The sequence below is a fragment of the Homo sapiens genome, chromosome 7 (genome assembly GCF_000001405.40).
Source record: "Homo sapiens chromosome 7, GRCh38.p14 Primary Assembly".
NCBI classification, from domain to species: Eukaryota; Metazoa; Chordata; class Mammalia; order Primates; family Hominidae; genus Homo; species Homo sapiens.
In genome coordinates this window covers 117,182,294-117,210,170 of record NC_000007.14, presented here as the reverse complement: position 1 = coordinate 117,210,170, position 27,877 = coordinate 117,182,294, and the positions used below count along the sequence as shown (strand labels likewise).

The following is a 27,877-nucleotide window of genomic DNA, read 5'->3' as shown; positions in this document are numbered from 1 at the left end:
CCCATCTATAATATAAACTTACCTTTCTGAGCTGTGGAAACAGCCTCACCACAGGAATACCCACCACCACCGGGGGATGGGAGAACCTAAGTCACTAACTGGCTTAGATGGGCCATCACAGAACACAAGAGCAGTACATATGTAAATCTTCATTATTCATCATAAACAGTGCAAAAACATTTTAGCACCTTTTCATGCTCTTAAAAATGTTTCAAAAAAAGAAAATTACTTACTGCCTTCCCACGTACAATGCAAAAGATTCAAAGCCCCTTCCACTCTCTTCCAGTGTGCAAGATGAAAGAATGCATATGCTATTGCTTCACTGTCTCCTCTCTTCAGGATATGTTCTGGGGGTAGGATTAAGCTTTTCATTTCTAGTAGGTACTGAAATAAAAAAGCAGGACACACTTGTGTTAATACCTAAGTAATTTAGAATTCAGTATTGAAAATAGAGCAGTTGATTTCCCTAAAGCCACCACTTATAAGCATTTCATTAAACCTGCAACCTCATTACTACATTTGAAGGCAATTACTAAAACATCCAGCAATACAAAGTTTGCTGACAGATGATTAGCCTTGTACTAGTTTCCTACAGTGAAGATCAGAGGCTTTCAGGCTAAGACACTCTAATCAAAGAAATACATAAGACTCAAACAGCATAAAGGAAAATGTAGAAGACACAATAATTTGGTATAATTTTGGAAGCAGAATGAAACCTTATAAAACAGACACATGAAGGTTAAGAAGTTATGTGGCTAAACCAAGTGCATTAGAAAGATTTGAGATTGAGTAGCACTGTCCATTATTTTTTTCTATACACATGTATCAAGGAGAAAAATCTTGTCCTATGAAAAGAGCCACCCACAGCTGCTCAGGTGCTACAGGGAGGAAGGGTGGCAGCCAGAGCATGGGAAGACCCAAGGGAGGGGAGCATTATAGACCCCAAACTGTGACACTCTTCGATCCTTTCCCGAAGACTAGGGAGTTGGGGTAGGGGATGGGGGTCTCAGCGTACACCTCTTCATTGCTATCTTCTACAAAGTGGGTAGGAGTACAGGGCAAGAATGGATATACTTCCCGGGGGCTGAGAAAAGACTACGTTTCCATTTTTATTCTTTTGTTTTACTATAGGATAGATAGGGAGCAATTTTTGAAGGTTATTTTATAATTGCAAATGTTAACCTTTCTTTTCTGGCTGGCATTCTCCCCTCCTGGATCCATCCCTGACACACACACACACACACACACACACACACACACACACACACCCACACATACACCCACCCCACCACCACCACCAAAGACAAACATAACAACAGCCCATGCAATCTCCTGTAAAATGGAGACTAGTAGACTACAGAGGGATATGGACAGCAAGATCAAGCGCTTAAAAAGGTGTTCAAAAATTTTAGCATCAGAAATAATTGCCTATGTATTTTTCTGTCCGTGGAAGTTTATGAAAGACAGTGAAAGGTAGAAGAGTCCTGGTATACAGAATGGAGACTATGGCACAACTATCAATGTTTCCCTGTCATCTAGTTGAGGATTTGTACCCTTTGGGCATCCCTCAGTTGCCCTTAAGCTTCCTCTCCCATTGGCACGGTTGGTGTCGAGGTGTATGGCCCAGCAGGAGCCAGGAGAACACATGCAGGCATCTTGGCTCAGCAACTGAAACCTTCCTCCCTCTGGGTCTGATATTTGAAGAAACCTCCAAGCTTCTGGCCTCAAAGCAGGAAGAGTAGGGAAGTGAGACACCCAGAGAGCAGCAGGAGGACACTGATAACGGTCGTCACACTTGGGAGGAGGTAGGATAGAAAGCCATACTCCACAGAAAGACCTGGGACCCATTTCCAGGCTGGTCCATGAGAGGTGTTTGTTATTTTGGTGGAACTCCTCAAACATGAGTTCTAGAAGAGCTTTCTGGCCATCTGCCTTTTTGGATTCTATGAACTACTGCTTTCCTCCTAATGTCTTGTTTTAAAACAGTGCAAGACAAAAATCTTTTCGGAAAAATAAGAATAGAGAATTACACAGCAATCCAATTTGCACTATGTTTATAATGAATATCAGCCATAATATAAATAATTATATTTATATTATGGTGGATTTTATGTTCGGAGTTACCTGGCTATCCTCTTGTGATTTTGTTACCTTAATAGGAACCATTAAAATGTACATTGCTACTGCCAGTGATAGTCTTAAAGGACCCCGAGGCTACGAGTCATGAAAAAAAATAAATAACTTGTAAAGTGTTATGAACTGTATTAATTGTTCCAGAGTAAGTTGGATAAGGAAGAGCATTTGGTTATCCATAACAATCATCATCAAAAAAACAAAGGAGAAGGGAAATTTCTGGCCTAATGAGAGCCCTGGAATAAGATTTTGATCTGACTTTCTAATTATTCATAGCCACCACATTTATCAAATAGTCAATTTTTAAAGAAGGATCATGTTTATAAAATTTGAAACATAAAATATGAAAACAACTAACTCATGTGTCCCAGGTATACAGAAATCTTCTTAAAGCCCCTGACAATCAGATGGTGGATAAAAGAAAAGTGTAAACTACCATTCTTTTCATTTCTATGATTAGAAAAGGCTTTCACATTTCATTAAGCATCTATGAAAGAACTCTTCTCTTAGCCTAAAGAACCTTCAGGAATAGGGGCACCTGAGAAGAAGTGGGCCTGGTAGTCACCCACATTTGTGGGTAGAAAATAAACTAGCAGGGCTGGGCGCGGTGGCTCACGGCTGTAATCTCAGCACTTTGGGAGGTCGTGGCGGGTGGATCACGAGGTCAGGAGTTCAAGACCAGCCTGGCCAAGGTGGTAAAACTCTGTCTCTACTAAAAATACAAAAATTAGCTGGGCGTGGTGGTGGGTGCCTACAATCCCAGCTGTTCAGGAGGCTAAGGCAGAGAATTGTTTGAACTTGGGAGGCAGAGGTTGCAGTGAGCCAAGATAGCGCCACTGCACTCCAGCCTGGGCAACACAGCAAGACTCCGCCTAAAAAAAAAAAAAATGAAAAGAAACTAGCAGGAGGCAGGGCAAGTCAACCTGGCAGGGGAGGGGAAGAGTTCAGAAAATTCCTGACAAAGGGACATTATAGATATGTGCCATCCGTTTTCAATACGACAGTTTCTACTGCATGTGGTTATTTATATTTTAATTAGTTAAAACCAAACAAAATTAAAAATTCATTTCCTCCATCTCACTAGCCATATTTCAAGTGCTCAGGTGCTGCATGTGGCTAATAACTACTGTATTGGACAATGCAGGGAATATTTCCATGATCACGGAAAAGTCTTTTGGACAGCATTGACTGTTGTGGACAATGGTTTTTCATCTTTGGATAACTGGACCAATTTTTAACATGAAAAAATTTCAAAGGTGTTCATGACAGGAATCATCAGGGTAGTAGCTACTGACTGAAAATATACAATATGACAAAAAGCTACCATAAATGTAATACAACAAAAATTAATCTAAAAGCATTGTTGGCCACCAGAGCATCTACATATAATACATTTGGAAAACAGTAGTACATATGTGTGTGAGACGGATGGCTTACTCAGCCTGCAGGATCAATGGGATACATATGGCCTCAAGGACATCATCCGCAGCCCCAAACATAGGCCATGAGGTAATGCTGTTTCTCCTCTAAGTTCTCTCCAATCTTTGTGTATGTGTACTAATCACACGCCACCTTATATTAGTTATTGTGTATCTTGTTCCTCTGCTAAATCATAAGACCCCCAAGAGCATGAACTTTGCCATCTGCACCTTAATTTCCCCTCCCCACACCTCCTACAGAGCCTTGCACATCAAGGTAATATTTTTTTAAGTTGAATTACATTGAAATCTTACTTCCCAAGAAGTCTCTCAAAGTGAACATCCCTGGCCTAATCAGCCTTATGAGGCTAACCAAAGCAATACATCAAGGAAACAACTCTGCCTTCTCATCTTATCTATCTTATGGCAGAAATCGGCTATGACTATAAAAGAGATTTACACTCCTTTATAATTCCAAACAAAATGTTGGCCCTAACCAAATGATGAAGGCTAATAACAACAATGTGTTATGTTTTTGGCCAGGCTTAAAATGGCTGGCAAGATCAGTTCTCAACATGTGCAACATTTAAATTAGAAAAGCATGGAACAACATTTCACATCTTACTTGTCAAGAGAAAAATAAATGGAACAGGGCAGATCCCTATCCACAAGTATGCAGAAATCAATTAGAATAACTGTAGCTCACAAATCAAAGAACACGCTTTGTCCATCTATAATAATGGCTTGGTTCTGTGCTATTTTGCCCGCCATCCTGCCTCTAACTTCCTTCCCAGATAAAATCACACTGATCTTGAAATGCAGTGCTTCTAAAAATTTTGGAAGCAACTTTTCAAAATCTATTTGTGTCAGCCTCCACTGCAGGAGCATCCAAAGTCAGGGCATATGAAGAGAAGCAGAGAGCTGTGGTCTTTAGGTGTGAGCAGCGCCTACTCATGGAGGTCTCTGAGTGGAGACTGGCTCACCTGTCAGGGAAACTGCTGAAGAGATGTGGCCTATTAGAGGCTACCTTGGGTGGCTGCTAAAGTGCTTTTTGCTAAGATCTTAAAATTCTATCATAATTTGAATGAAAATGATCCCATAGTTATCATTCACATAAATGTTAATACCAAAGAATTAACTCATACAACTATTTTTTCGGGATTTTCAATATCAACAATAGCATAAGTCATATGAAAATCATTAGCAAAAGTATAAATAAACAAAATGTGAAAAAAAACAGGTACATTAATTTATATCACAGTCAATGATGACTATTAAGTTGCTCCCAAAACCAGGTAGTGAAATAATATGTATTAGCACAGGGAAATGTTCATCATACATTGCTAAATGGAAAAAAATCAATGTACCCTAACAATTTACATAGCAGATTATTAATTATTTTGACAAAAAAAGGTATAGGTAGGCATTAAAAACCATTGGACAATCACAGGTTGAATGTTCATGGTGGTTAAATATTTGATTTTAATGGGAGATTAACTTCTTTTGTACTCCTTCTGTGCTTTCCAAGTTTTCTATAATAAGCATTTTTTAAGGGATGGGGTCTCACTCTGTTGTCCAGGCTGGAGTGCAGTGGTGCAACCATAGCTCACTGCAGCCTTGAACTCCTGGGCTCAAGCGATCCTCCTGCCTCAGCCTCCCAAGTTACTGGGACTATAAGGCATATGCCACCATGCCTGGCTTGTAATAAGCATTTTTATTTTTCTCTCTCTCTATATGTATGTAAGTATATATGTAATACAAATCTATTTTCTAGACTTGCATCAAAAACAGACACAACCACACACACACACAAACATACAAACAAAAGATAACTGGAGATAGCAAATTTTTTTCATGCCTACAATGCTTTGGTGCAACTGGCTCTGATAAAATGGCCTAAGACCAGAAAAGATGTTTTTAAAACATCAATAAGGAGTTCTGAGAATAAAGCTAGTGCTATTTGGGAGAGACACCACATAGTCTGAGTTTCAATGTTGCTTACTCCCTGGAATCAGTAAGACACAAAGCAGGCACAGGACAAAAAAAACACTGCAAGTAGCCATGGCTCACTCAGATCATGCGGTGATGGAGAATGAGGTAGACATCACCAGGATTCCTTGCCTTACCTCCTCTCATCTACCATCTGCCACTTTGAATCACTTACTGGAATCCTGGCTCTACTGTTTAGCTACGAGACCCTGGACATGTTATTTAATTTCTTTGAACCTCAGTTTGCTCCTCTGTAAAACTGGAATAGTAAAAACACACCTTGCTGGTTTTAATTTTTGAAGATTATGTAATATATGTAAAGCATTCATTCACATAGTACCTGGCATATAAGCGTGCATTGAATAGTAGATATTTTTGCTACCAAAAAAATTAAATGTTCATATTACTGTAGAGGTAATTTGTGTTTTCCACATATACATGTCCCACAGATAACTGAGTTTGTTTTTAGGTAAAATACTTCAGCACTTTTATTGTAGTAGCAGATCAGTTGAAGAGACCTGGGCTAACGAGGGTCATTAACCGACCGATATGGAGGCAAGCATAAAGCAAAGCTGAATTGTCAAATTAAACCTGGTGATTTCAGTACCACTCAGGGGTCCTCATCACAAGGCACCTGCTTCTTCCTGGTTCACTTCTCTGTTCATCGGTTACTTTGCTTCATTCAAAAAATATGCGAAGGCCCACAGTGTATCTCAAGTGTACAGATATGGGAGCACCCACAGCCTATCCAAGGACATGGATATGGAAGGATCCTTTGTGTATTCCAAGGACACAGATATGGAAGCACCATAATTTACCTCAGGGGCATGGATATGAATCAGGCCAGGTCCCCACCTTGATGATCCATAGTCTTTGTAGGAGTAGAGGAGGGAGAGAGAGAGGAGAGAAAAAGAGAATGTATGGAGAAAGAATAAAATTCAACATGGTAAGTACCTTAGTAAGATGTATAAACTTAGCACTAAGGAAGCAAATGGAGAGCATTGTGTCTGAGAAGCTTCACAGAAAAATGAAAACATCAATTTTACTAATTAAATAAGAGTTTATACTGAAAAAATGAGGAGGGGGGATTCCAAACCAGCATTAACGGGCAAAGTATACCAAAAGCATCAAAGCCTACCAAAAGCAAACCAAGGCATTCAAGGGCATGATGTGTTTCTAAACTGGTGGGGCCTGAGTACTAACATGATGGTAACTGCCAACACTGATTACACACTAACACACATGCCAAGCATTATCTCAGTAACTCCTTAACACTAACTCTGTGATAGAGCTAATATTTCTATTCCTGTTTCACAGATGGGAAAATGAAGGCTTTAGGAACTAACTTGTTCAGGGTTACACAGTTGGAAGTGGCAAAACCTGCATTTGAACTCAGGCTACTCTCCAAAGGAGTGAAGTAGAAAAAGTAGGCTGTAAAAGGCCTTCATGACCTGCTCCAGAGGGTGCCCTGACCTTCAGTAACTGGTTTTCAGACTTTTAGACACAGACTACAGTTGGCTCTTGAGCAACCTGGGTTTGAACTGCACAGGCTTACTTTTATACAAAATTTTTTTCAACTAAACACGGATTGAAAATATAATATTCATGGGATGGGAAACCTGCATATACAGAGAGCTGATTTTTTGCATAACACAGGTTCTGTTCGGTTCTGCAGGGCCCACTGGGGGACTTGAGTATGTGCAGATTTTGGTATATGTGAGGGGTCCTGGAACCAATCCCCTGCAGATACTGAGGGGGGGAAAAAAACACTTAGAATCTGTGAAGCTGATGAAAAACAAAGCTGTGGGGAAATCTGAGGGAGGGACCCAAGAGAGGTCCGGGGAACCCTCCTGGCTCTCCTAGGAGGACAGTTTGGAAATCACTGCCATAGGCAATTGGGAAGTGAGTTGTGCAGTTTGCAATTTTGAGAGAAATGGGTGAGTCATGTGTAGGATCAACAGACAGGGAACAGATGGAAATTAGCAAAGTCTTAAAAAGCTCCTGTTAGAGTCCAGGTGATGGGGACAAAATTGCGGGGTGGAGGAGGAGCTTCTCCAGGACTTGGCACCTGACTAAATGTGAGAGTGAGGGAAAGAACCGAAGGTGACAAATTTTTGGCATAAGAAACTAGAATAATGTGAGCTCCTTAGCTAGGGTAAAGACACCAAAGGAGGAAGAGGCTTAGCAGGGGAAGGTAACAAAAACAGCTTAAAGAACCTGCAGAACATCCCTGGAGAAATGGCCTGAAGGCAGCTGGGTCTTCAGGTCTGGAGCTTAGGAGAGAATCTGGAGACACAAATGTGGGTGTTCTGGGCCAGAGATGGAAGCTGCGCAGTAGGAGCACCCGAGATCTCTCAAGATAGCTTCGAGGCCGGGCGCGGTGGCTCACGCCTGTAATCCCAGCACTTTGGGAGGCCGAGGCGGGCGGATCACGAGGTCAGGAGATCGAGACCATCCCGGCTAAAACGGTGAAACCCCGTCTCTACTAAAAATACAAAAAAAATTAGCCGGGCTTAGTGGCGGGCGCCTGTAGTCCCAGCTACTTGGGAGGCTGAGGCAGGAGAATGGCGTGAACCCGGGAGGCGGAGCTTGCAGTGAGCCAAGATCCCGCCACTGCACTCCAGCCTGGGCGTCAGAGCGAGACTCCGTCTCAAAAAAAAAAAAAAAAAGATAGCTTCGAGCAAGGAGGGAGAGGGCAGTGAATAGAGCTCCCTGGAAAACATGAACGCGTGGCAGCGCAGGAAAGGAGTAGGAGGAGAGTGCTGACATACAGGAGTGGCACAGAGAGAAGGTGTCATGGAGTCGAGATGGCCTCAAGACATAAGAAGCAGGCTGGCTGGGGGCAGTGGCTCACACCTGTAATCCCAGCACTTTGGGAGGCCAAGGCAGGCAAATCTCTTCAGCCCAGGAGTTCAAGACCAGCCTGGGCAACATGGCAAAACTAAGGTGGAGGCTGAGGTGGGAGGATTGCTTGAGCTTGGGAGGTCGAGGCTGCAGTGAGCCATGATAGCACCACTGCATTCCAGCCTGGGTGACAGAGCAAGACCCTGTCTCATGGAAAAAAAAAAAACCACACACAAAAAAAACATAAAAAGCAGTTGGTCAGTGGGACCAAATGCTGAGGAGAGATGAAATAGGATGAGGTTTGAGAAGAGGCCAACAGATCTGGTGGCCTAGGTGGCAGCGGCCTTAATAAGAGTGACCTCAGTAGAGGTAATGAGCCTGGTGGGGGTGGCCTGTATGGGAGTAGTCTTGGGGAAAGCAGCTGCAGTGCTTTTTGTTAAAGAAAGAGACTTAAACTTCCTATTCCTGAGAAATGTGGCTAAAAACTGGTTTCTGTTCATTTTCCTCTGGGTCATATTTCCACAATACATTCTCCTTACTCTAATCCAAAAAAGCTTTGGAACAAAATATGACTCAATTCAAAGAAACTTATATCGAAATAATATTTCTAAAATGTCCTGTTGATATATAATATCATAGACAGTCTGCCAGGGTATTTTGAATTTCTGCTTCCACGCTTCAAGCATTTTAAAATGCTAAAACCCACTACACATTTTGTTTCCTAAATTGGATTAAAAAGCAATTTTATACTCTGTCAATCAGCTTTACCAAGATATAAAGGGAGGACTGCTTTAGTGTTTGCATGAAATAGAATTTCCATCACTATAACAATGTCCTGTAGGTACTCCATTAGCATATACAATTACCACGATGTTTTCTTCCACAAGCCTCTTGAAATCCCCATGAAATTAGAGTTTCTAGATTAACATTAGATGAGCTTTCTTTTTTTTTTAAAAAAAAAAAAAAAAGAGTACATTTTTAATGGGAATGCATTTCTGTCATAACACTCTTCATTCTTTCCTCTCTATTTTCTCTTGACTTCCCGCACTCCCAGACTTATAATTTGAAAGCTAAATACGTACTGGGCTAGGTCCTCACCTCCATATTGTGTCAAGCCCAGTCTGCCCCGCTGCTGAAATGAGTGCTGGGAGTGTGGCACCCTCCTCCCCTCGGTACCCTCTGGGACTGCCTGTTGTGCCCTCCACTACCTCTTGGGCGGGCACAGTGAGGACAGCAGATGGTTTACTGGTTCTGGGATTTGGGGCAAGATTAAGATGAAAGCTATCCCCCATTGGTGCTGGCAATTTTTCTTTATTTTTTTCCCCCTCAGCAGCTCTGTCTACAGCACGTGGACATGCTAAGGAACGGGTACTGGCTCTGCAGCCCCCTCCCTGCTGCTCAGAGCAGGGTGGAGGCCTCCTCCTCTATGGGTGGGACCTCAAAAACTTGGGATTTTCTGGTGGTGATGGGTCACACCCATCTGTTATTTTCTGAACTGTATGCAGAGGGGGCCTTGGGGTTGCTGGGCTACCAGACTTCTCATTCCAGTTTCAACCAGAGCAGGCCTACATCTACTTTAAGGTTTCATGTAAGACTGAATTAGGAGAGGAAAAATGTTTATTGCTTTAAAAAAGTTAAAAATTATTTGTTTTTGTACAAGTAAATACTAGATGGTTTAAGCACAAGCTGGCCAGTGGAGGCCTGTGTGTGGTAGTGAAGACCCCGTGACTTGGGAAGCCCTCCTTGGTGATAATGACCAGGTCAGGATTTCCTATCAGCCAAGGCTCAATTCTGGGGACCACAATGTTCAAGGTTTTCAGAGTTGAGTGGAAGGTTTGGGCATTCTGTATACAGCCAGGCCACTCCCCTACCACTGCACACTTGGAGAATGTTTGTAACAGCAAAGCACGGGATCTGGCTTCCAGGAGTTAACAGAGCACCTGGGCTATCTGCCCCAACTCTGACTGTGAGCTGGTTGCCTCGTTCCAGTGGGCCCAGCAGAACTCTGCCTGCCTCATAGGGGCACGGCCCGGTCTGTCTTCTCAATGACTGGGCACTTCTTGAGAGCACGCATCATGTTCTGACCAGCGTCCCAGTGGCTGGCACATAATTAGTGCTCAATAAGTGCTAGCTGAATGCGCTGCTGGGAGGGAAAAGAGGACTCTGCTTCAGAATTGTACACCTTTGGAGACTAGAGAAGCTGATGGACAGCAGCAGGAAGGTTAGCCCCTCCAGAATGAAGTAAAGTTGCAGGGATGCCTCCTGGTTATTCTATTAGGGCAGAGTGATCCTGCTTAAGTAAAAGTAGTTCAAATATGTTGTGGTTGACAGGAGACCTAGCAAGGTGTGTGGCTTCCAGCTGAGGGAGAAAATGGACGAATTCCTCTTCTGAGGGCATGAGAGCCTTACCAACTCTGATAATGAGAATAGGCACCAAGACAGAGGGTGCAGGGGCAGGGAGGAAGGAGATATAAGCAACCCAGGCTGGGAGACAAAAAACCACTCAGGCCTGGTCTGAAAAAAGCATCTGGTGATTTTCAAGTGGGCCCCTACCTCCTCTATGACTGTGGGCACCTGGGACCCCTGACCACACAGCTCACACAAAGGGAGATTTCCCTGCCACCTCTCTCTCTTCCACTCACACTTCTCTGCTTGTCCTGGTGGTAGGCAGTGGAGATGACTCCAACAGCCCAGCTCCAATTGGTAGAAGTACCCCTGGGAATGAAGCAAATAGCTGCTTGCTTTTTATAGGCTGAAGAGGAAAAGCTTTGGAAAGAGCGAAAACTTAATAGAATCTGGAAACATTTCGCTGGGGGAGTCAATGATGATGGGTTTGGAGTATGTATGTGTGTATTAGGGACTGTTAATGTAGCCCTACAATCTTGATTACTCAGACAGGGAAATATGAGTTATATAACAGAAAGACAGGGGTGGCCTCAGCCTCCATAATAGTGGGGACACCTGGCTCTATAATCAAAGTAGAAGACACAGTGATGTTTTATGAGGCAACCTCATGCATGCCTAGGACAGGCTTTCAGGCCTGTTCCACCTGAGGAGGCAGGTGCAACAGGGAGAGGAAGGGGCCTGCGTATGGGCAAGTTTCATACCAGACGTGAAGTGTTGTGTTGGGGTAGAAGACCTGATGGGAGTGGGTTGGCATGGAGCAAGGATGGTACCAGGCTCAGAACAAGAATATAAGACACAGGTCGGAAATGGGTAACAATCAGCCACAAGCAAAGAACTTACCAAGCAGCTACAAGCTGCAGAATCCCTGAAGACAATAGCTGCAGCCAGAACATGCTAGAGCCTCCCCTCAAATCTGGAGGCCTGAAGGGACACTGAGGGTCCTCAAGGCCAAGGCATTGAGGTGCCACTGTTATACTCTCTGGTTGTCCTTCTTCAGGCTAGGGTGGCCCAAGAAGCACCTGTTAATGCATGTTTCTAGGCAGCCTCTATTTCCACCTAGCCTGCAAGCACAGAAATAGAACGGGAGGTAAAAAGGAAGAGATAACGAAGGGGCCAACATGTACTGAGCAGGTACTGAATGAATTACACGATGTAATTTCATTTACCTGTCATCAGTCCTGTGAAGCCATTACTTTTATCCTCATTTTATCAAAACAAGAATGGGCAGGAAACTAATTAACTCCCTCCTCCCATACTTTATTCCAGTCCTGTGGACAGGAAGTAACGGGAGTCATTGTTCTGAACACTTTTGAGCTTTTCTCTTTTTTAGAGACAAAGTCTCTTTCTGTCACCCAGGCTGTGGTGCAGCAGCACAATCATGGCTCACTGCAGTCTTGACCTTCTGGCTCAGCCTCCCAAGTAGAGTATGCCACCACACCCAGCTAATTTTTTTGTTTGTTTGTGGAGATTAGGTCTCACTACGTTGCCAGGCTGGTCTCAAACTCCTAGACTCAAGCGATCTTCCTGCCTCAGCCTCCCAAAATGCTGGAATTACAGGCGTGATGAACCCTTTCAATGATACTTCATAGCTCTCCTTACCTTTAGGTCATTATTCCTTGCTCTGTTGTTATAATGTTTTGCCTCACAATTCAGAAAGGAATAAATACAAATGGCTAACAATGTTCTACCAAACTAGTAGTGGCAAAGAAATGCAGACTAAAAGAACAAAATTCCATTTGTACTTAATAGGTTCATAAATATTTATTGCTCCCCTTCTTTCTTTTTTAAACAAACTGCTCAATGACAGTGAGGATATGATAAAATAGTGAAGAAGGAGTTGTCTGCTGATTTAAACTGCTATAATCTTTTTTGGCAAGTAGTTCCGCAATATCAAGAGCCTTAAGTGCTTCTACACATGACTTAGTAATTCCCATTCTTTAAATCTACCCTAAGGAAATAATCCTGACTAAAAAATCTTCTTGCCCAAAGAGGTTCATTATAGAAGTTGACCCGTCATGTCAATTTGATATCTACCATGGAGGACTCAAGAAGTAGATTACGCTGTGTGCACAGTCCCTCACACCCATAATCCCAGCACTTTGGGAGGACAAGGTAGAAGGACTGCTTGAGGCACAACTTGGGCAACAGAGACTTCGTCTCTATTAAAAATTTTTAAAAGCTGGCTGAGTGTAGGGGCGCATACCTATAGTCCCAGCTACTCTAGAGGCTGAGGCTGGAGGATCCCTTGAGCCCTTGAGTTTGAGATTACAATGAGCTATGATTGTGTCATTGCACTCCAGCCTGGGTGACAGAGTACAACCCTGCCTTGGGTCAGCGGGTGGGAAAGAGGGAAGAAGTAGATAATTCTCTTCAACAAAATGTAACAGAATGAAATTGAACTCTTATCTTACACCATACACAAAAATCAACTCAAAATGCATTAAAAATTTAAATATAAACTACAAAACTCCTAGAAGAAAGTAAAGGAGCGAAAAACTTCATGACATTAGTTTTAGCAATGATTTCTTAGATATGACACCAAAAGCACAAGCAACAAAAGCAAAAATACACAAGTGGGACTACGTCAAACTGAAATGCTTCTGTGTAGCAAAGAAAACAATCAACAGAGCGAAAAGGTAACCTGTGGAATAGAGAAAATATCTGCAAATCATATATCTAATAAGGGGTTAATATTGAAAACATATAAGCAACTCCTACAACTCAATAGCAAAAAAAAAAAAAAAAAAAAAAAAAAAGCCCAACAATCTGATTATCTGATTTAAAACTTGGCAAAAGACTCAAATAGACATTTCTCCAAGAAGATATATGAATGACCAACTGGTATATGAAAAGATGCTCAACATCACTAACAAGCAGAGAAATGCAAATCAAAACCGCAAAAAAATTTTACCTGACGTGTTAGGATGGCCACTCTCAACAAAATAACAAGGGTTGGCAAGTTTGTGGAAAAACTGGAACCCTTGTGCACTGTTGGTGGGAATGTACAATGGTGCAGCCACTAAGGAAAACAGTTTGGAAGTTTCTCAAAAAATCAAAAATAGAATCACCACTATATGATCCAGTCATTCCCCCTTCTGGGTATTCATTCAAAAGAAGTGAAAGCAGGATCTTGAGGAGAATATTTGCACTGCTATTTTCATTGCAGCATTATTCACAATAGCCAAGAGATGGAAATAACCTAAATGTCCATGGACAGATGAGTGGATAAAGACAATGTGGCATATATATTCAGTGGAATAATTTTCGGTCTTTAAAAAGAAGAAAATTTTGTCATATGGTGGCTAGAACACAGATGAACCTTGAGGACATTATGCTAACTAAAATAAGCCAGTCACGGAAAGACAAACAATACATGATTCCACTGATATGAGGTATCTAAAGTAGTCAAATTCACAGAAGCAGAGAGTATAATGGTACTTGCCAGGGGCTGTGGGGAGGGGAAAATGAGGAGTTGCTGTTCAATAAGAATAGAGTTTCAGTCATGCAAGATGAAAAAGTTCTGGAGATTACTGTACAGTGATGTGCATATAGTTAATGATATGGTTTGGCTGTGTTCCCACCCAAATCTCTTCTTGAATTATACTTCCCATAATCCCCATGTATAGTGGGAGAGACCTGGTGGGAGGTAACTGAATCATGGGAGCGGTTATCTGCATGCTGTTCTCATGATAGTGAGTGAGTTTTCACAAGATCTGATGGTTTTATAAGGGGCTTTTTCTCCTTTTGCTCATTCTTCTGCTTCCTGCTGTCATGTGAAAAAGGACGTGTTTACTTCCCCTTCCGCTATGAATGTAAGTTTCCTGAGGCCTCCCTAGCCATGCTGAACTGTGAGTCAATTAAACCTCTTTCCTCTATAAATCACTTAGTCTTGAGTATGTCTTTATTTGCAGCATGAGAATGGACTAATACAGTTAACAAGATTGTACTGTACACCTAAAAATTTGTTAAGAGGGTAGATCTCATATTACATATTTTTTACCTTACACCCATAAAAAAGAAGTATCCAAAACAGAAGTATCCAGTTATAGAAACTGCCTTAAAAGAGTCTGAAGGCACACGGATAAAATACTTGAACTGTAAGTTGGAGGATAACCTTTTTAAGGTTAAAGAACTCTGAAAATCTGATAATCCCCCCTCAGAAACAAATATACCCCCAATACCCAACCATAAAGTCCATGTTAAGAGCCCTATGCTAATTTTTTTTTAAATAGTAAAAGTATTTAAAATATGTAGGAAAAAAGGCTAGAAATAGTCTTAAATATGAGTAGATTGTTTTTTATAATATCACTATAGAGCAAAAGACATATTTAATACTGCCTGTAACAAACAAATAATTTAGTCCACCTTTTGGAAACTTGTCAGAAAATGGAAGTTTATCTTTGGTACCCTGAAGGAGTTAATGTAACATCCTCCAAAACAAAAATGTGTCTCCTCGCAGTGAAAGGCTTGCAGTGTGGCTGCAGCATACTAAGAGCACATAAGCGCTGGTTAACCCAGGTCTGTGTAGTTGATGGGTCACTGATAGAAATGTCTCCCCCATGCCCACCCCAGTGTAAATCTCAAGACTGCTGAGGAAGAGCAGAGTGAGCATGCAGCATATCTGCAGAAAGAAGGCCCCAAATCCAATAAACTGTAACAATACAAAGATGAAGGTATAGAACCGTGGTGAGGGTAGTCCTTTGTTTGTCCAGCATTACATGAATGGAATTTTCTTTACATGCAAAGCTATTTTAATCCCATTAAATGGAAAACATCCTCTAATGGATTCAAGATTTCTTTGTCTTCTTTTGTTCTCAGTTGTTGAAAATCACCAGCATCATTAACATCCCCAATTTTCCTCAAGAAAAGGTAAATAGCAAGTACAAGCATTATAGTGAGACACCACGGAGGAGACAGACTACTTCTGATGAAGAAGAACAAGCTTCCTAATGACTCTTAATGGGGGTGGTGAAGGGGCAACAGGGTTTTCTTAGAGAAAGTGAAGAGGGAAAGGAAAGAGAATGTTTCTGGAATGATGAACAAATAGTTATGAAGTGGAAAAAATGAAAAACAAGTTGGGTCAGATTATGAAGGGTACTGAAGAATCTCACAAGGAGTTTATGCCTTTTCCTATGGGAGCTGGCGGCACAGCTACAGTTTCTCAGGAGGGAGTGACAATTCTGTTGGTAATGATGAGCCTATGTGTTTGCTTCCTCTTTACTAGTTTGCTGCAATCTAATACTTCAGAAATTCTAGTGTTTCGCATCCATCTGACCACTTAAGTGGCTCTGCTTCAGAACAGAGACAAGGGGTTTTTACTGTTCTTATTTATTTCCCAGTCCTGTGATGTAGTAAGGAGCAACACTTCCTCCCTACTCCTTATGTCTGCAAGTGAAGAGAGTTCCTAAGAGTAGCCCTCCGAAGGTAAATGACTAGTATTTATCATTGGATGGTGAAATACTACCTATCTATCTTTGCTTAATGGGATACCAGATGAAGCGAAGCTGGAAATGCAAGGAAGTCAGTTCTCAGTTATTATATTTGGTATTTTTTTCTCCCTCAGAGAAGATGACAATTATGCAATACAGCATGTAGATACTAAAAATTCCTGTGGTGGGCCACTGACAAATTCCTGTGATAGAGAAAAAGAAGCCATGGAAGTCACATCATTTAAGATATCCTGAAGAAACCTGAATTGTCCTTAAGGGATTGAATGTCTTAGGAAGCAGTGTGCCTGCCAGCATTTGAAGAGTCCAAGCCTAGGCTGGTCTGTTTCCTGGTGGGGTGTGGTAGGCAGTAGAGGGCAACATTTAAGAGTAGATAACCCAGAATTGGTTCTGGCTCTGTCATTTATTTGCTGTATGACCATGAGCAGATTATTTAACCTCTCCAAACCGTCAGTGCCCTCATCTATGTAATAGGGATAATAATATAATACACCTCACAGAGTTGTTATGAAAAATAAGTGAGAGGGCTTATATACTTCAGCTAGCACTGTGCTTGGCACATTAACATTCAAAAGAAACCAATAATAAAAATGGTTATCACAGTATCATTATAAGGAGAGAGTCAAGGTTAGGATGGGAAGGTGACCTAGATGATCTTTAAGGATCATCTTATGCTAAGAGTCCAAGAGTTTGTAACCTTCACCGATGTCTCATTAGAACTAAGACTATTATTCACTGCCTCCAAGGCACCGTGTGTGTGTGTGTGTGTGTGTGTGTGTGTGTATCTGCTAAAGTTAGATATTTAGAGCACACTGCATACTGTATATTAGAAATCTGTGGCTAATTCTTGACAGATAGGGCCAGTGAATCCCAGGACCCGTTCCCCACGGAAATTCTGATAGACGAAGAGGATCTGGAAACACATCTCCCCCTCAGCACAATCACCAATGAAGCAAAGTGCTGGAGAGTCAGTTTACCCAGGTAGTTTACCCTGCCTTCTCTCAGTTTCATGATTAGAAAGTAGAGTGCAATCAAATATTTGAAATGTTTCCACTTTTAGGATAATTCTATTTTGCAGGTGGAATCCTAGTTAACTGTGTCAAATTCTTCCATGGCAGCCTTAAAGTGTTTCTTAGGGCTTTTAATATTCTTCTAGAGGCTCAATTAACCATTTCAGACCAGTGTTTTAGCATTAAATGACTACTTCAATCAAAATATCTAACCAACAAGTACTGTACTGATTTTCTGTCTTGTGCCCCAGGATTGCAAGGCTCTAGTTAGGATCACGGTAAAAGATCTGGTTCCTAGATATGAGGAGCCCCCAACCATTATCAAAATTCTTAATAATTATCAAAAAATGTTGATATTAAAATCATCAAAAATCTTAATAATTTACAAATAAATGGTGCTCAAATGTTTTCAAAGAACTTCAAATATATAATCTCACTTGATCTTTACCACAGAAGATAGGCAGGGCTTATATCCTAACTTCATTTAAAAATGAGGGACAACTTTGAGCTTAGAGATGCTAAGCCCAATGTCCAATGGCTGATAAATGACAGAATCACAAGTGGAACACAAGTTTTCGCCTCAGAATCCAGAACTTATTGCTCAATACTACTTCTAAAAGAGCCTTATTTATGCTTACTGAATAGCTCTGTAGAGAATGGCATTCAATAAGTATTCATAGATGACCTCAGTTTACTGTAATTCAGGATAATTTTTTCATGATTAGTTTTAAATTTTAGTCAAAGTGGAATAAACATTTTTATCTTAGGTGAAAAATATTATATAAGGAGATATAGTTATAGCACCATATGGACAATACATAAATCTGCAAATACTATGTTGGTCATTACCCATTAGGCCTAAGGAATATATACATCCTTATGCAAATGTGGCATAGTGAACCACTCTTCAATTTCCTGCTAAGTGAAAAAAATGACCTAGACTTGAGTAAAATCCCAGGAATATTAGATCACTTATCTCTGTCACTCTGAATATCAACAAAATAAAGTAGTTAACTCCATAAACCATCTCTCTCTCTCTCACTCATACCCCCCCACCCTTTTGCTATAGTGCTACAACACAAGTCAAACAGCCTTCCTTTGTCATTTTTCACCACTAAGTCTTCATCAGACATTTTGCCAAGGAAGTTATGGCTTGTCATACCTGAGGTGAACCACACGAAGTTTCTTAGAGGCCAAAATGTACTTAATAGCGGGACTGAAAGTGGCTCTCAGCTACTTTTTTTCCTCCCTCAGAGAAGATGATAATTACGTAATACAGCATGTAGATACTAAAAGAGCAGGGAGTTAAATATAGGTAAATAATAAATACACATTCATCTCCTGAATAAAAGATTACAGAAATATTCCCTGCTCTGATTTGATTCCCTTAAAATCAATTTCAGGAAAAAAAATTGGAAATATTGGGTATTTATAAATTGGTCAACCATGTGGTTAATAACTAAGACAAATATTTTCTACTATATACACTTATTAAAATGGTACAAAGCAAAATACTTCTTCATATTTTGAAGTTTTCTCTATTATTTTCTTGCCAATACTGATTACTATCATTCATTTATAGAGACACGGAATGCCACATTAGTATTTTTTTTTTACCAGTTTTATTCACAACAACATTTATTTCCTGAGTTTGGTCTATGTGAGACCATAACTGGTGTGAAATTCCTGTCAAATGTGTCAACACTCCCGGGATATCTACTTTTTGCCAATTTCAGGCTTCCTGGCCTGCCTAAGCGAGGTCTATCGATTTACCCTTATTAAGTGAAGTCTGGAAATCTGCCCCAAAGCCTCTTGAGTATAGCTTTTGCTTAAAATGAGGCTAATGCCCATACATTATACAGGGTCTCAACATTTGTTGGTTGCAATTCATTTTTTTATAAGCGGTGTACTTGAGATACAACACTGTGGTCAATGAATGCTTTCTCTGCTATCATAACGAGTTCCTGTGGGGATTCCACAGACTCACTTTTGGCACATGAGGATTGAATTCCACAGCTCTATGAATGGCCTCTACTGCATTCATCTCTGCTGTGCTCAGCCCCCGCCGAGATGCAGCCTCAGGAGAGAATCTGAAAAGCAGAAAGACAAAAACCATCCAGGTGGGACCACTGCTTGGGCATCAACCCGGAAGCATCTACACATCTAGGGCCCATAAAACCACAGTGAGCCAATAGCATGAGCTCTCCAAACTTCTACTGCATGGAACCTCTGAGTGACCCCACGGACCGAGGCCAGCAAAAACCCCAGCAGAAGCAGAAAGCGTGCTTGCATCTAGTCATGGCAGGAGTTAAATTCGGCTGTCAAGTCTCTGTCTAAATGGCTAATCTAAATCTTCTACGAGGTACCTGCTCAGGTCAGGGGAAGAGGTAGGACTGACAAGGGCAGACAGTGTAGGAAAAAGAGAAAACTAGGTTACAGAAGAGCGCACTTGGTTAAAAACAGAACTGGGAAGGATTTGAAAGGAGGCCTCCCACCCAATGTCAGTGCTGCGATGGAGGTTAAATCGTTGCAGCTTCAGCAGCAGGCGAGCCTGCTTGGGGCCATTCCGGCAGAGGGTGTGTGCATGCCCAAACTGCGGGCAAGACACCTGCCCAAGTGAATGAAAAAAACCAGACCATGCAATCTCTTTCTCACCTCACACCCAGGGCTAACTCCAGAGCTGTGCTTGGCAGGCAGACACCACAGGGGAAGCTGTGACAACCCTGGCCCTGCCCTCCCAAGCTGGAGTCGCTGTGTAGGGAGAAAAGATGTTGCAGTAGGTACTGGCGATCTACAGGATAAAAAAGAATGAAAGAAAATTACTTTGGTCTTGAAGTGTACACACACTTAACAGCAAACCTGTCTGATACAGCAGAGGCTGGTTTCCTGTTCTCTGCTTTCGATGCTACAGAGGGATTATATTGGGGAAGCGTAAGAGTTTATGAACTCAAAAGCAGTTAAGCCATCTATGCTCTTTCATCTGACAGGCATCCTTGGATGCTTATGAAAAGTCTATATGTCATAGTCACCTGCCTGAACAAAATAGGCAAACGTACCATTGAGATGGCAACTCAAAGTTAATAGACCAGTGGGGGGCTAATTTGAAGTTGATGAGGCAAAGAATGAGAGATGACCATCCTGTCTGCCACATTCCACGTGTGTATGACACTACCCAGTTATGGACCGCTGAAGGGAGAGGAATGTGCAAAAAACAAATAGAAGGATGGTATTCTGTGTTAAGTCCCAAGCAGGTGTTTTGGTATCTACTGTCTCACACCAAAAAACTCATCTCAGAAGCATGGAATTTCAAATAAATCCTGCTTTAGGATACCTTTACACACCCTTACATTACCTGAGGATATACATTCCCTCCTTCCAATAGTGAAAGAAAAGAACAGCAGGTTTTGGAAAATGCATGCTTATAAGCAGGGGTCTCATAGCCTAAGAGAAACTTCCAGAGAAAGCCCTCAGAGGCAACACATCTCAATTCCGGTCAGGCATTAGTACCGCGCAAACTATTATTCACTTACTTGTCAGAGACAGCTCTTGCTTTGAGCAAAGCAGCTGTGTAGCATATTGTTGCTGACTTTGGTAAGCTTATATCTGTTGGAGAAAAAGAAAGTAGGAACACATAAGTTTGCAGGTAACAAAGAGCAATCATTTTCAATACACTAGCATTTTAATCACGTTTAAGTGCAATAAAGCATAAATGAAGAATATTTTAATACAGACATTACACAAGAATTTCAGCTATTCCTTACTGTATCAACGTGGTATGTGAAACTAAGGGTAGTTTGTATTTTTGTGAATAATTCATGTCCAACAGGCTGACTCTTAAGCAATCACCTTCTATTTTAAAATATGAATTTTCATATGTTGAGTTTAAGCAGAGTATAGCTATAAATATATACATTTAGATATCACATGAATATCCTTGATGTGAAAGACATGAAAGTGTCTTTGTCACTTACAAAAATTTCTCAACAGGTATATGAAATGCTAATTGAAGAAAAAAATCTAGATTAAAAGAAGACTTAGCCAAATGAATGATTCTTTAGTGGACAGATTTAAACTAAATTTCCTTTGCATTAAATTTCAAGTTTACATTCAATTTTTAATAGTGCTTGTTAAAAATGTAAAAGTCCAAGTTATATATATGTCTAATATATAAATAAACATATATAACTTTTAAAGGGTATATGTATGAAATCTTTAGAAAACTACACAATTTTTGCTCATGAAAACCTATCATAAATCTCCTTTCATATGAAGCCTCACTTGTCATCAGGAAAAACAGTTCCTTTCAATTTTACAAAAATTTCAGAAGGGCCAGGGTGGGTGTGGGGTTCAGATAATGAGTTTACAGGAAAGTGAAAGCACAGGGTACAAGTGAGAGTAGATAAACTCAAAGAGGGCACCCCTTTGGGTGAAAAATGTGTTCTTAAATTATGATTGCATTCTTTCCAGAATAGGAGTTAGTATTTAATACTTGCAACCAAATTTACACTATGACACAGAAATACCTTAATTCAGAACAGGTAAAAATATGCCATTCCCAGATGCTGCAAAATTCATTCTAGGTTAGAGGAACTCTTTGCCCCTGGAATGCCCTGCGAGTTTCTTTGCAAGGCTGTTTTCAACTTAGAAAGGATTACAGTAAAGTAGAAATGAAAAATAGAAGTCCCATAATTAGCCAATAGACAGAGGCAGAAGAAAACAATTTCATAAAGAAAACCAATCTCTCTTTCAATAAAGAGTATTTAATGCCAATTCCAAGGAGATTCCTAAGGAATTTCTCTTTGAGGGAAATTTCAATGACATTGATAAAACACAATCATAGAAAATATCAGCACAGAATTGAAAGGAAAACAGGTCTTTGTACCCGTAATCTCTTAAACTATATTCAAGCAAAATGTCACCACCACATACATACTATATAAAATGGTGCACTTACAATTAAGAAGAAAAAAATGCCAGACACTCATGGATTAGTCTTGTTGCTTTTCCAGCATCTAAACATTTAACAGCTTTCCAGTGTGGGGAATCAATACAGGAACGAAATATGTTGTTTTCTAGGGTATACTCATTGATTGTTATTTGAAGCTAATAAAAAAAACTAGATGACACATGGCCTACTTAAAAGTTCAGACTTTTTATTTTAAAATTACCCAAGCCTTGTTTCCGAAAACAATGATCATAACTATTTGAAGGTGGCAGCACAAGAAGGAGCCTCTTTTTAATGACTTAGCTGCCCAACAAGAAAGATCAAGTTGTGTTTGATGGTTATCTAATCAATCAAATGGACACTTTCACCCAGATAGAAATACAGAAAAAGATACATTCGAGGTGTTCCAGCAAATGACTAGAGATGCCTAATCAAAGGTAATCTTTAATCTAGAATCCTGACCTCCGTTCCCACTAGCATAGACAGGACATTCACAGCTAGAAAAATGCAACAGCATTCAGCAACATTATGACGACTACAGTACCTTTTCTCCATTTTTAAAATGTTTGCTCCTTCTCCTTTATTAAGTAGTATATGTGCACAAGAAAAATGCTTAAAAAAAATAACCAAAATATATTTTAATCAATATCAAAGAGGGAAATGTAGCTCTATGAAAATACCCCATTCCCCATTAGTGGCATGTCATTCTACTTATCTTTTTATGCTAGTAAGTTATTTTGTTCTCACTGATTAACAGAAATAGAAAATAGCAAAATATTCTTGCATGGCTGGTTTATTTAGATATTTTCAATGTTATTCTTTTATCTGTAAAAACATTACATCTACTTGGTAATAGCAATTTGCCTCTAAGGAGGGATGAATCACTCTAAAGAAACGGATCCTAAATTTCCCTTCACATAGAGCATCTTGTTGTTCAAATAGGTTTTGGTTTACAATTTTCATTTTTGAAAATGATGCATATTTTTCTGCAGAGCACTTAGGCAATATAAATGGAAAGCTTTTACATTTTGACTACCCAGCAATTCCACTTCTAAGACTTTATCCTAGGAAATAATCATCAATGTGCACAAAGATTGTTCATCACAACATTGTTTCTAATGGAAAATTGGAAATGGCCCAATGTCCAATCATAGACTGGCTAACATGCTGTAAGTTCATTCACAGGGTACAATTCCATGCAGTCATTAAATTATGCGGTGGAAAGGTACTGAATGATCTGGGGGAAATGTATTGTGCACATATCAATAAGTTTATAAAAAGTATGCTTTAATATTCATTTTTAAAAGCATTTCTATGCACAAAGATTGGAATAATATGCACCAAATATTGTAGACTCCCCTTATCAGTAGTTTCACTTTCTGTGGTTTCAGTTGTCCACAGTCAACTGCAGTCTGAAGATATTAAAAGGAAAATTCCAGAAATGAATAATTTATAAGTTTTAAACAGCATGCCATTCTGAGTAGTGTGATGAGATCTTGTTACTGCCCTGCTCCATCCAACCCGGGATGTGAATCATCCCTTCGTCCAGCATATCCGCACTGTAGATTCTACCCGCCCATCAGTTACTTTGTGGCCATATGCGTTATCATAGTTATCACGGTGCTGTCATAGTTATCACTGTGCTTGTGTTCAAGTAACCCTTATTTTATTGCATAATGGCCACAAAGTGCAAGAGTAGTGATGCTGGCAATTTGGATATGCCAAAGAGAAGATGTAAGGTGCTTCCATTAAATGAAAAGGTGAAACTTCTCAACTTAATAAAAAAAGAAAAAAATCATACACCGAGGCTGCTAAGATCTACAGCAAGAATGAATCATGTGATATTGTGAAGAAGGAAAAGCAATTTGTTAGTTTCACTGTTGCACCTCAAAACTGCAAAAGTTATGGCCACAGTGTGTAGTAAGTAGAATGACAAGAAGGAGTGGCCACATTCACATAACTTTATGACATATTGTTATAACTGTTCTATTAGTTATTGTTAATCTCTTACTGTGCCTAATTTATTTATTTATTATTTTTATTTTATTTATTTTTTGAGACAGAGTCTCGCTCTGTCGCCCAGGCTAGAGTGCAATGGCACGATCTCAGCTAACTGCAACCTCCGCCTCTTGGGTTCAAGCGATTCTCCTGCCTCAGCCTCCTAAGTAGCTGGGATTACAGGCATGCGCCACCATGCCCAGCTAATTTTTGTATTTTTAGTAGAGACAGGGTTTCACCATGTTGGTCAGGCTGGTCTTGAACTCCAACCTCGTGATCCACCCACTTTGGCCTCCCAAAGAGCTGGGATTACAGGCGCGAGCCACTGCACCCGGCCTACTGTGCCTAATTTATAAATTAAACTTTATCATAAATACATATGTATATGAAAAAATATTGTGTATACAGGGTTCAGTATTCTCCATGGTTTCAGGCATCCACTGGAGGTTTTGGAACATATGCCCTAAGGATAAGAGGGGACTACTCCATCAGCAGTGTTTATTTCTGCATGGCGAGATTATAGGCAATTTTTCCTACTGTTTATCTGTATTTCCAAAGTTTCCTGTCATGTACATGCAGTAACTGTTTTTTTAGCAGATAATGATGCTAGAGGGAAGAATTCTGTTCTACAAATTGCCTGAAGCAAGTTCATGGGCAAATACATTGGTGGAGCCAGATACCGACAGCACAGACAAAAGTAGAATTTATCATATGAGGTGCTGTCAGTCTGGAGATCTATCAGATGTAACTTTCACATACTCTTGTGAAAATTAGTGTGTTCTATTTACAGTATGCCTGCTATAGTATAGTTATCTTATTAGCCATATTTTAATCTAATAACTGCGTAACATCTAAACCACAGGCAGGAACTGATGTTTTGGCTCACCATTAAGAAGAACCATAAATACTATCCTCTAGGAGAAAGTATTTAGGCTGCCTGCTCCATGAGCACCTCCTCTTTCATTCCCACCTCACCCCACAAAAAAGGGTGAGGCTTGGTTATTTTTGCCTATTATAATTTTTAAACTTAATATTTCGACATAATTAGAGGTTTCCAGAAATTTATAAAAATAGCACACAGTCTTGTAAATGTTTCACTCAGCTTCTCCCAACGGTGATATTTTATATAACTGTAGTATAATATCAAAAAACAAGAAATTGACATTGCTAGAGTACTATTAGGTACACTACAGACCTTGTTCATTTTCACCATTTTTTACATAAAATCAAGTGTGCATGTCTATCCAATTTCATCCCATAACTAGATTCATGTAAACACACCAAGATATAGATCTGTTCCATTACCACAGAGGAACTCCCTGGTGCTACCCCTTTATATTTGTACCCTCCCTGTCCTTCCTCAAACATGTCCCCTGGTGATCACTAATCTGTTCTGTACAGTTCTGTCTGCCTGCTATGACTTCATGCTTTTATCACTACGGAAATGGATAAAATGATAAGATGAATAGAGTAGCTACCAGTAGTGATTGAAATGGTGGCAATAAGAACAAATCATCCGCTTTCCAATATTGCCTGTAATTTATTCAGAAATTTTATTTTGAGGAAGCAACTCAAAATCATTCTAAGTTAGTTTGATTTTGTATGAACACACTGACTCTGCAGTGCCCTTCTGACTTTTGTAAGTGGCATTTAGCTAGCTACATTATTACCTCTTACGAGTTAGAATCCAAAGAGCAAACAAAAGGAAAGGAAATAATGAGATATCACATAATTCCATTACTCACTGCAGAAACAAGGAACGCTAAGTAAATGTTTCTCACTTAGTCAAAGCTGAACTGCTGGCATTAATTTTTCTTCCACCTCTTTGCCATCTTATGTTTTATAGAAATGTTTTCCTGAAAGGAGAAGAAATTTCCCCAAACATCTTAGGCATGCAAAATCAAATTGTCATGAAAGCCTTTCATTAAAAGTTATAATCCTGAACTTCACACAAATGGAATCAGACTCATTTTTGTACTCATTTTTGTCTGGTTCCTTTCACTCAGCACATTGTTTTTGAGATTCATCCATGTTGTAGCACGTGTCAGTCATTCATTCTTTTTCATTGCTGAGTAGTATTTCATTGTGTGGATACACCACATGTTTATCTATCCTCTTGATAAAGGACATTTGAATTGTTTTCCCACTTTGGACTATTATGAAGAAAGCTGCTGTGATCATTTTTGTGTAAGCGTAAGAAAACTCATTTCTCAGGGATATGTAACTAAAAATGGGATTGCTGGATCTGAAGATAGATGTCTGTTTAACTTTATTGGAAACTGTTAGACAGTGTTCCAAAGTGGTTGCATGAAGTTTGCAAAACTAATATATTGTGTTCAAGGTAAGGAAAGTGGTTACTGCTGGGCTGGAGGGCAGTTATTGGCTAGAAGGGAGTATGAGGCAACCTTCTAAGATTTCAGGAAGTTCTGTTTCATTCTGGGTAGCAGTCACATGGGTATATACATAAGTGAAAAATCATCCCTCTGCACTTAAGAGTTGTACCTGTAACTATATGTAATTGATGCCTCAATTATATATATATAATTTTTTTTTTTTTAGACAGAGTTTTGCTCTATCACCCAGGCTGGAGTGCAGTAGCACAATCTCCCTCACTACAACCTCCACCTCCCGGGTTCAAGCAATTCTTGTGCCTCAGCCTCCCAAGTAGCTGGGACTATAGGTGCACACCACCACGCCTGGATAATTTTTGTATTTTTAGTAGAGACAGGGTTTCACCACGTTGGCCAAGGTAGTCTCGAACTCATGTCCTCAACTGTTCTGCCCACCTTGGCCTCCCAAAATGCTGGGATTACAGGCATGAGCCACCGCACCTAGCCAATAAAAAATTAAAACAAACAAACAAACAAACAAACAAACAAAAAAACCTAAAATCTTGTGGTCACCTGAAGATGTCTTATCTTACCAATCTGACCTCCATAACATTTTACTTGCCTTTTATCATTCTGCCCCACTCCATTCTCTCCACAAATCCTTATCTAAAAATCACTTACACCTTCCATAAGAAAACAGAATCTGATTATTGTTCGTCAATCTTTCAAGAATTAAGATGGTTAACATATCTCTTCTATAGCAATCTTCTGTAGGATAAATACCTCCAGTTCCTCAACTGACATATTCTTCAGAACTTCTCATCTATTTTTATTACCTGGCCACATGTGATTTCAAAATATGAGAATTAGAAATGAAAACAATCCTCTAAATCCCCCAAACTGACCAGTAGAGAGCTCAGGGAAAACGTGCAGTCTGAGGAGCTGTGCCACTCTACGTCTCTGAATACCAGCTAGAACGGCCCTGGTGTTGAGCAGCTGGGACTCTGTTTGTTCCTATGATTGTGTGGTCAACAATACCCCCCACCTCCAATTCTATTCAAATAGACTTCAGCTAAAGTCAGGTCTTTTCTCCCTTTTATGTAAGCCATGAACATTAAAAAATAAAAATAAAAACATACAGGCAGGATTTCACATCTGATTCCATTAAATTTCAAATCTTAAAATTAAATCTGAGCCATTAAATCTTAATAGTTTCAGTACGTCATTCCAGCTTATTAGTCATTTTTCTGATTCAAGCTACCATGCACAGCTTTGCTCCCTCCATATCTTCTTCCCTAAATGACCATTATCATCATCAAAATGACTGCCAACACTTACTAAAGGCTAACTTCCAGGC

The 27,877-nt window shown here is 40.1% G+C and overlaps 1 protein-coding gene and 1 long non-coding RNA gene across 18 annotated transcripts in view, besides 1 other annotated feature; both read right to left on the bottom strand.

The window, feature by feature from the left end:
* ST7 (suppression of tumorigenicity 7) overlaps positions 1–27,877 on the bottom strand; it is a 276,676-nt gene that overhangs the window by 20,006 nt on the left and 228,793 nt on the right. For 12 of the 17 annotated variants that reach the window (NR_161422.1, NR_161423.1, NM_001369607.1 and 9 more), the window contains 3 exons: positions 20,778–20,850; positions 19,235–19,337; positions 234–384 (listed from right to left, as the gene is read on the bottom strand). Coding sequence is in view for 11 of the 17 variants with exons in the window: in NM_001369607.1 (NP_001356536.1) it covers positions 234–384; positions 19,235–19,337; positions 20,778–20,850 (327 nt within the window). In the remaining 6 variants the exon portion in view is untranslated. Of the gene's footprint in view, positions 1–233; positions 385–19,234; positions 19,338–19,902; positions 20,039–20,777; positions 20,851–27,877 lie in introns of all 17 variants that reach the window. The other 5 variants (NR_161420.1, NR_161421.1, NR_161418.1 and 2 more) reach the window with 2 other exon arrangements.
* On the bottom strand, positions 234–27,490 carry ST7-OT3 (ST7 overlapping transcript 3). Its single transcript, NR_002332.2, has 9 exons — positions 27,426–27,490; positions 25,972–26,046; positions 20,778–20,850; positions 19,903–20,038; positions 19,235–19,337; positions 18,410–18,536; positions 11,631–11,851; positions 11,027–11,099; positions 234–384 (listed from the first exon to the last, which is right to left on the bottom strand). It is a non-coding gene; the product is annotated as an ST7 overlapping transcript 3 (long non-coding RNA).
* Positions 19,758–20,153: a silencer, noted in NCBI's record as "conserved region 11 (CR11) negative regulatory element (NRE) in the greater CFTR locus". NCBI's record gives its function as "modestly represses an SV40 promoter coupled to the HS2 beta-globin enhancer in the forward orientation in transfected K562 cells {active_cell/tissue: K562}" and the evidence as "EXISTENCE:reporter gene assay evidence [ECO:0000049][PMID:18436892]".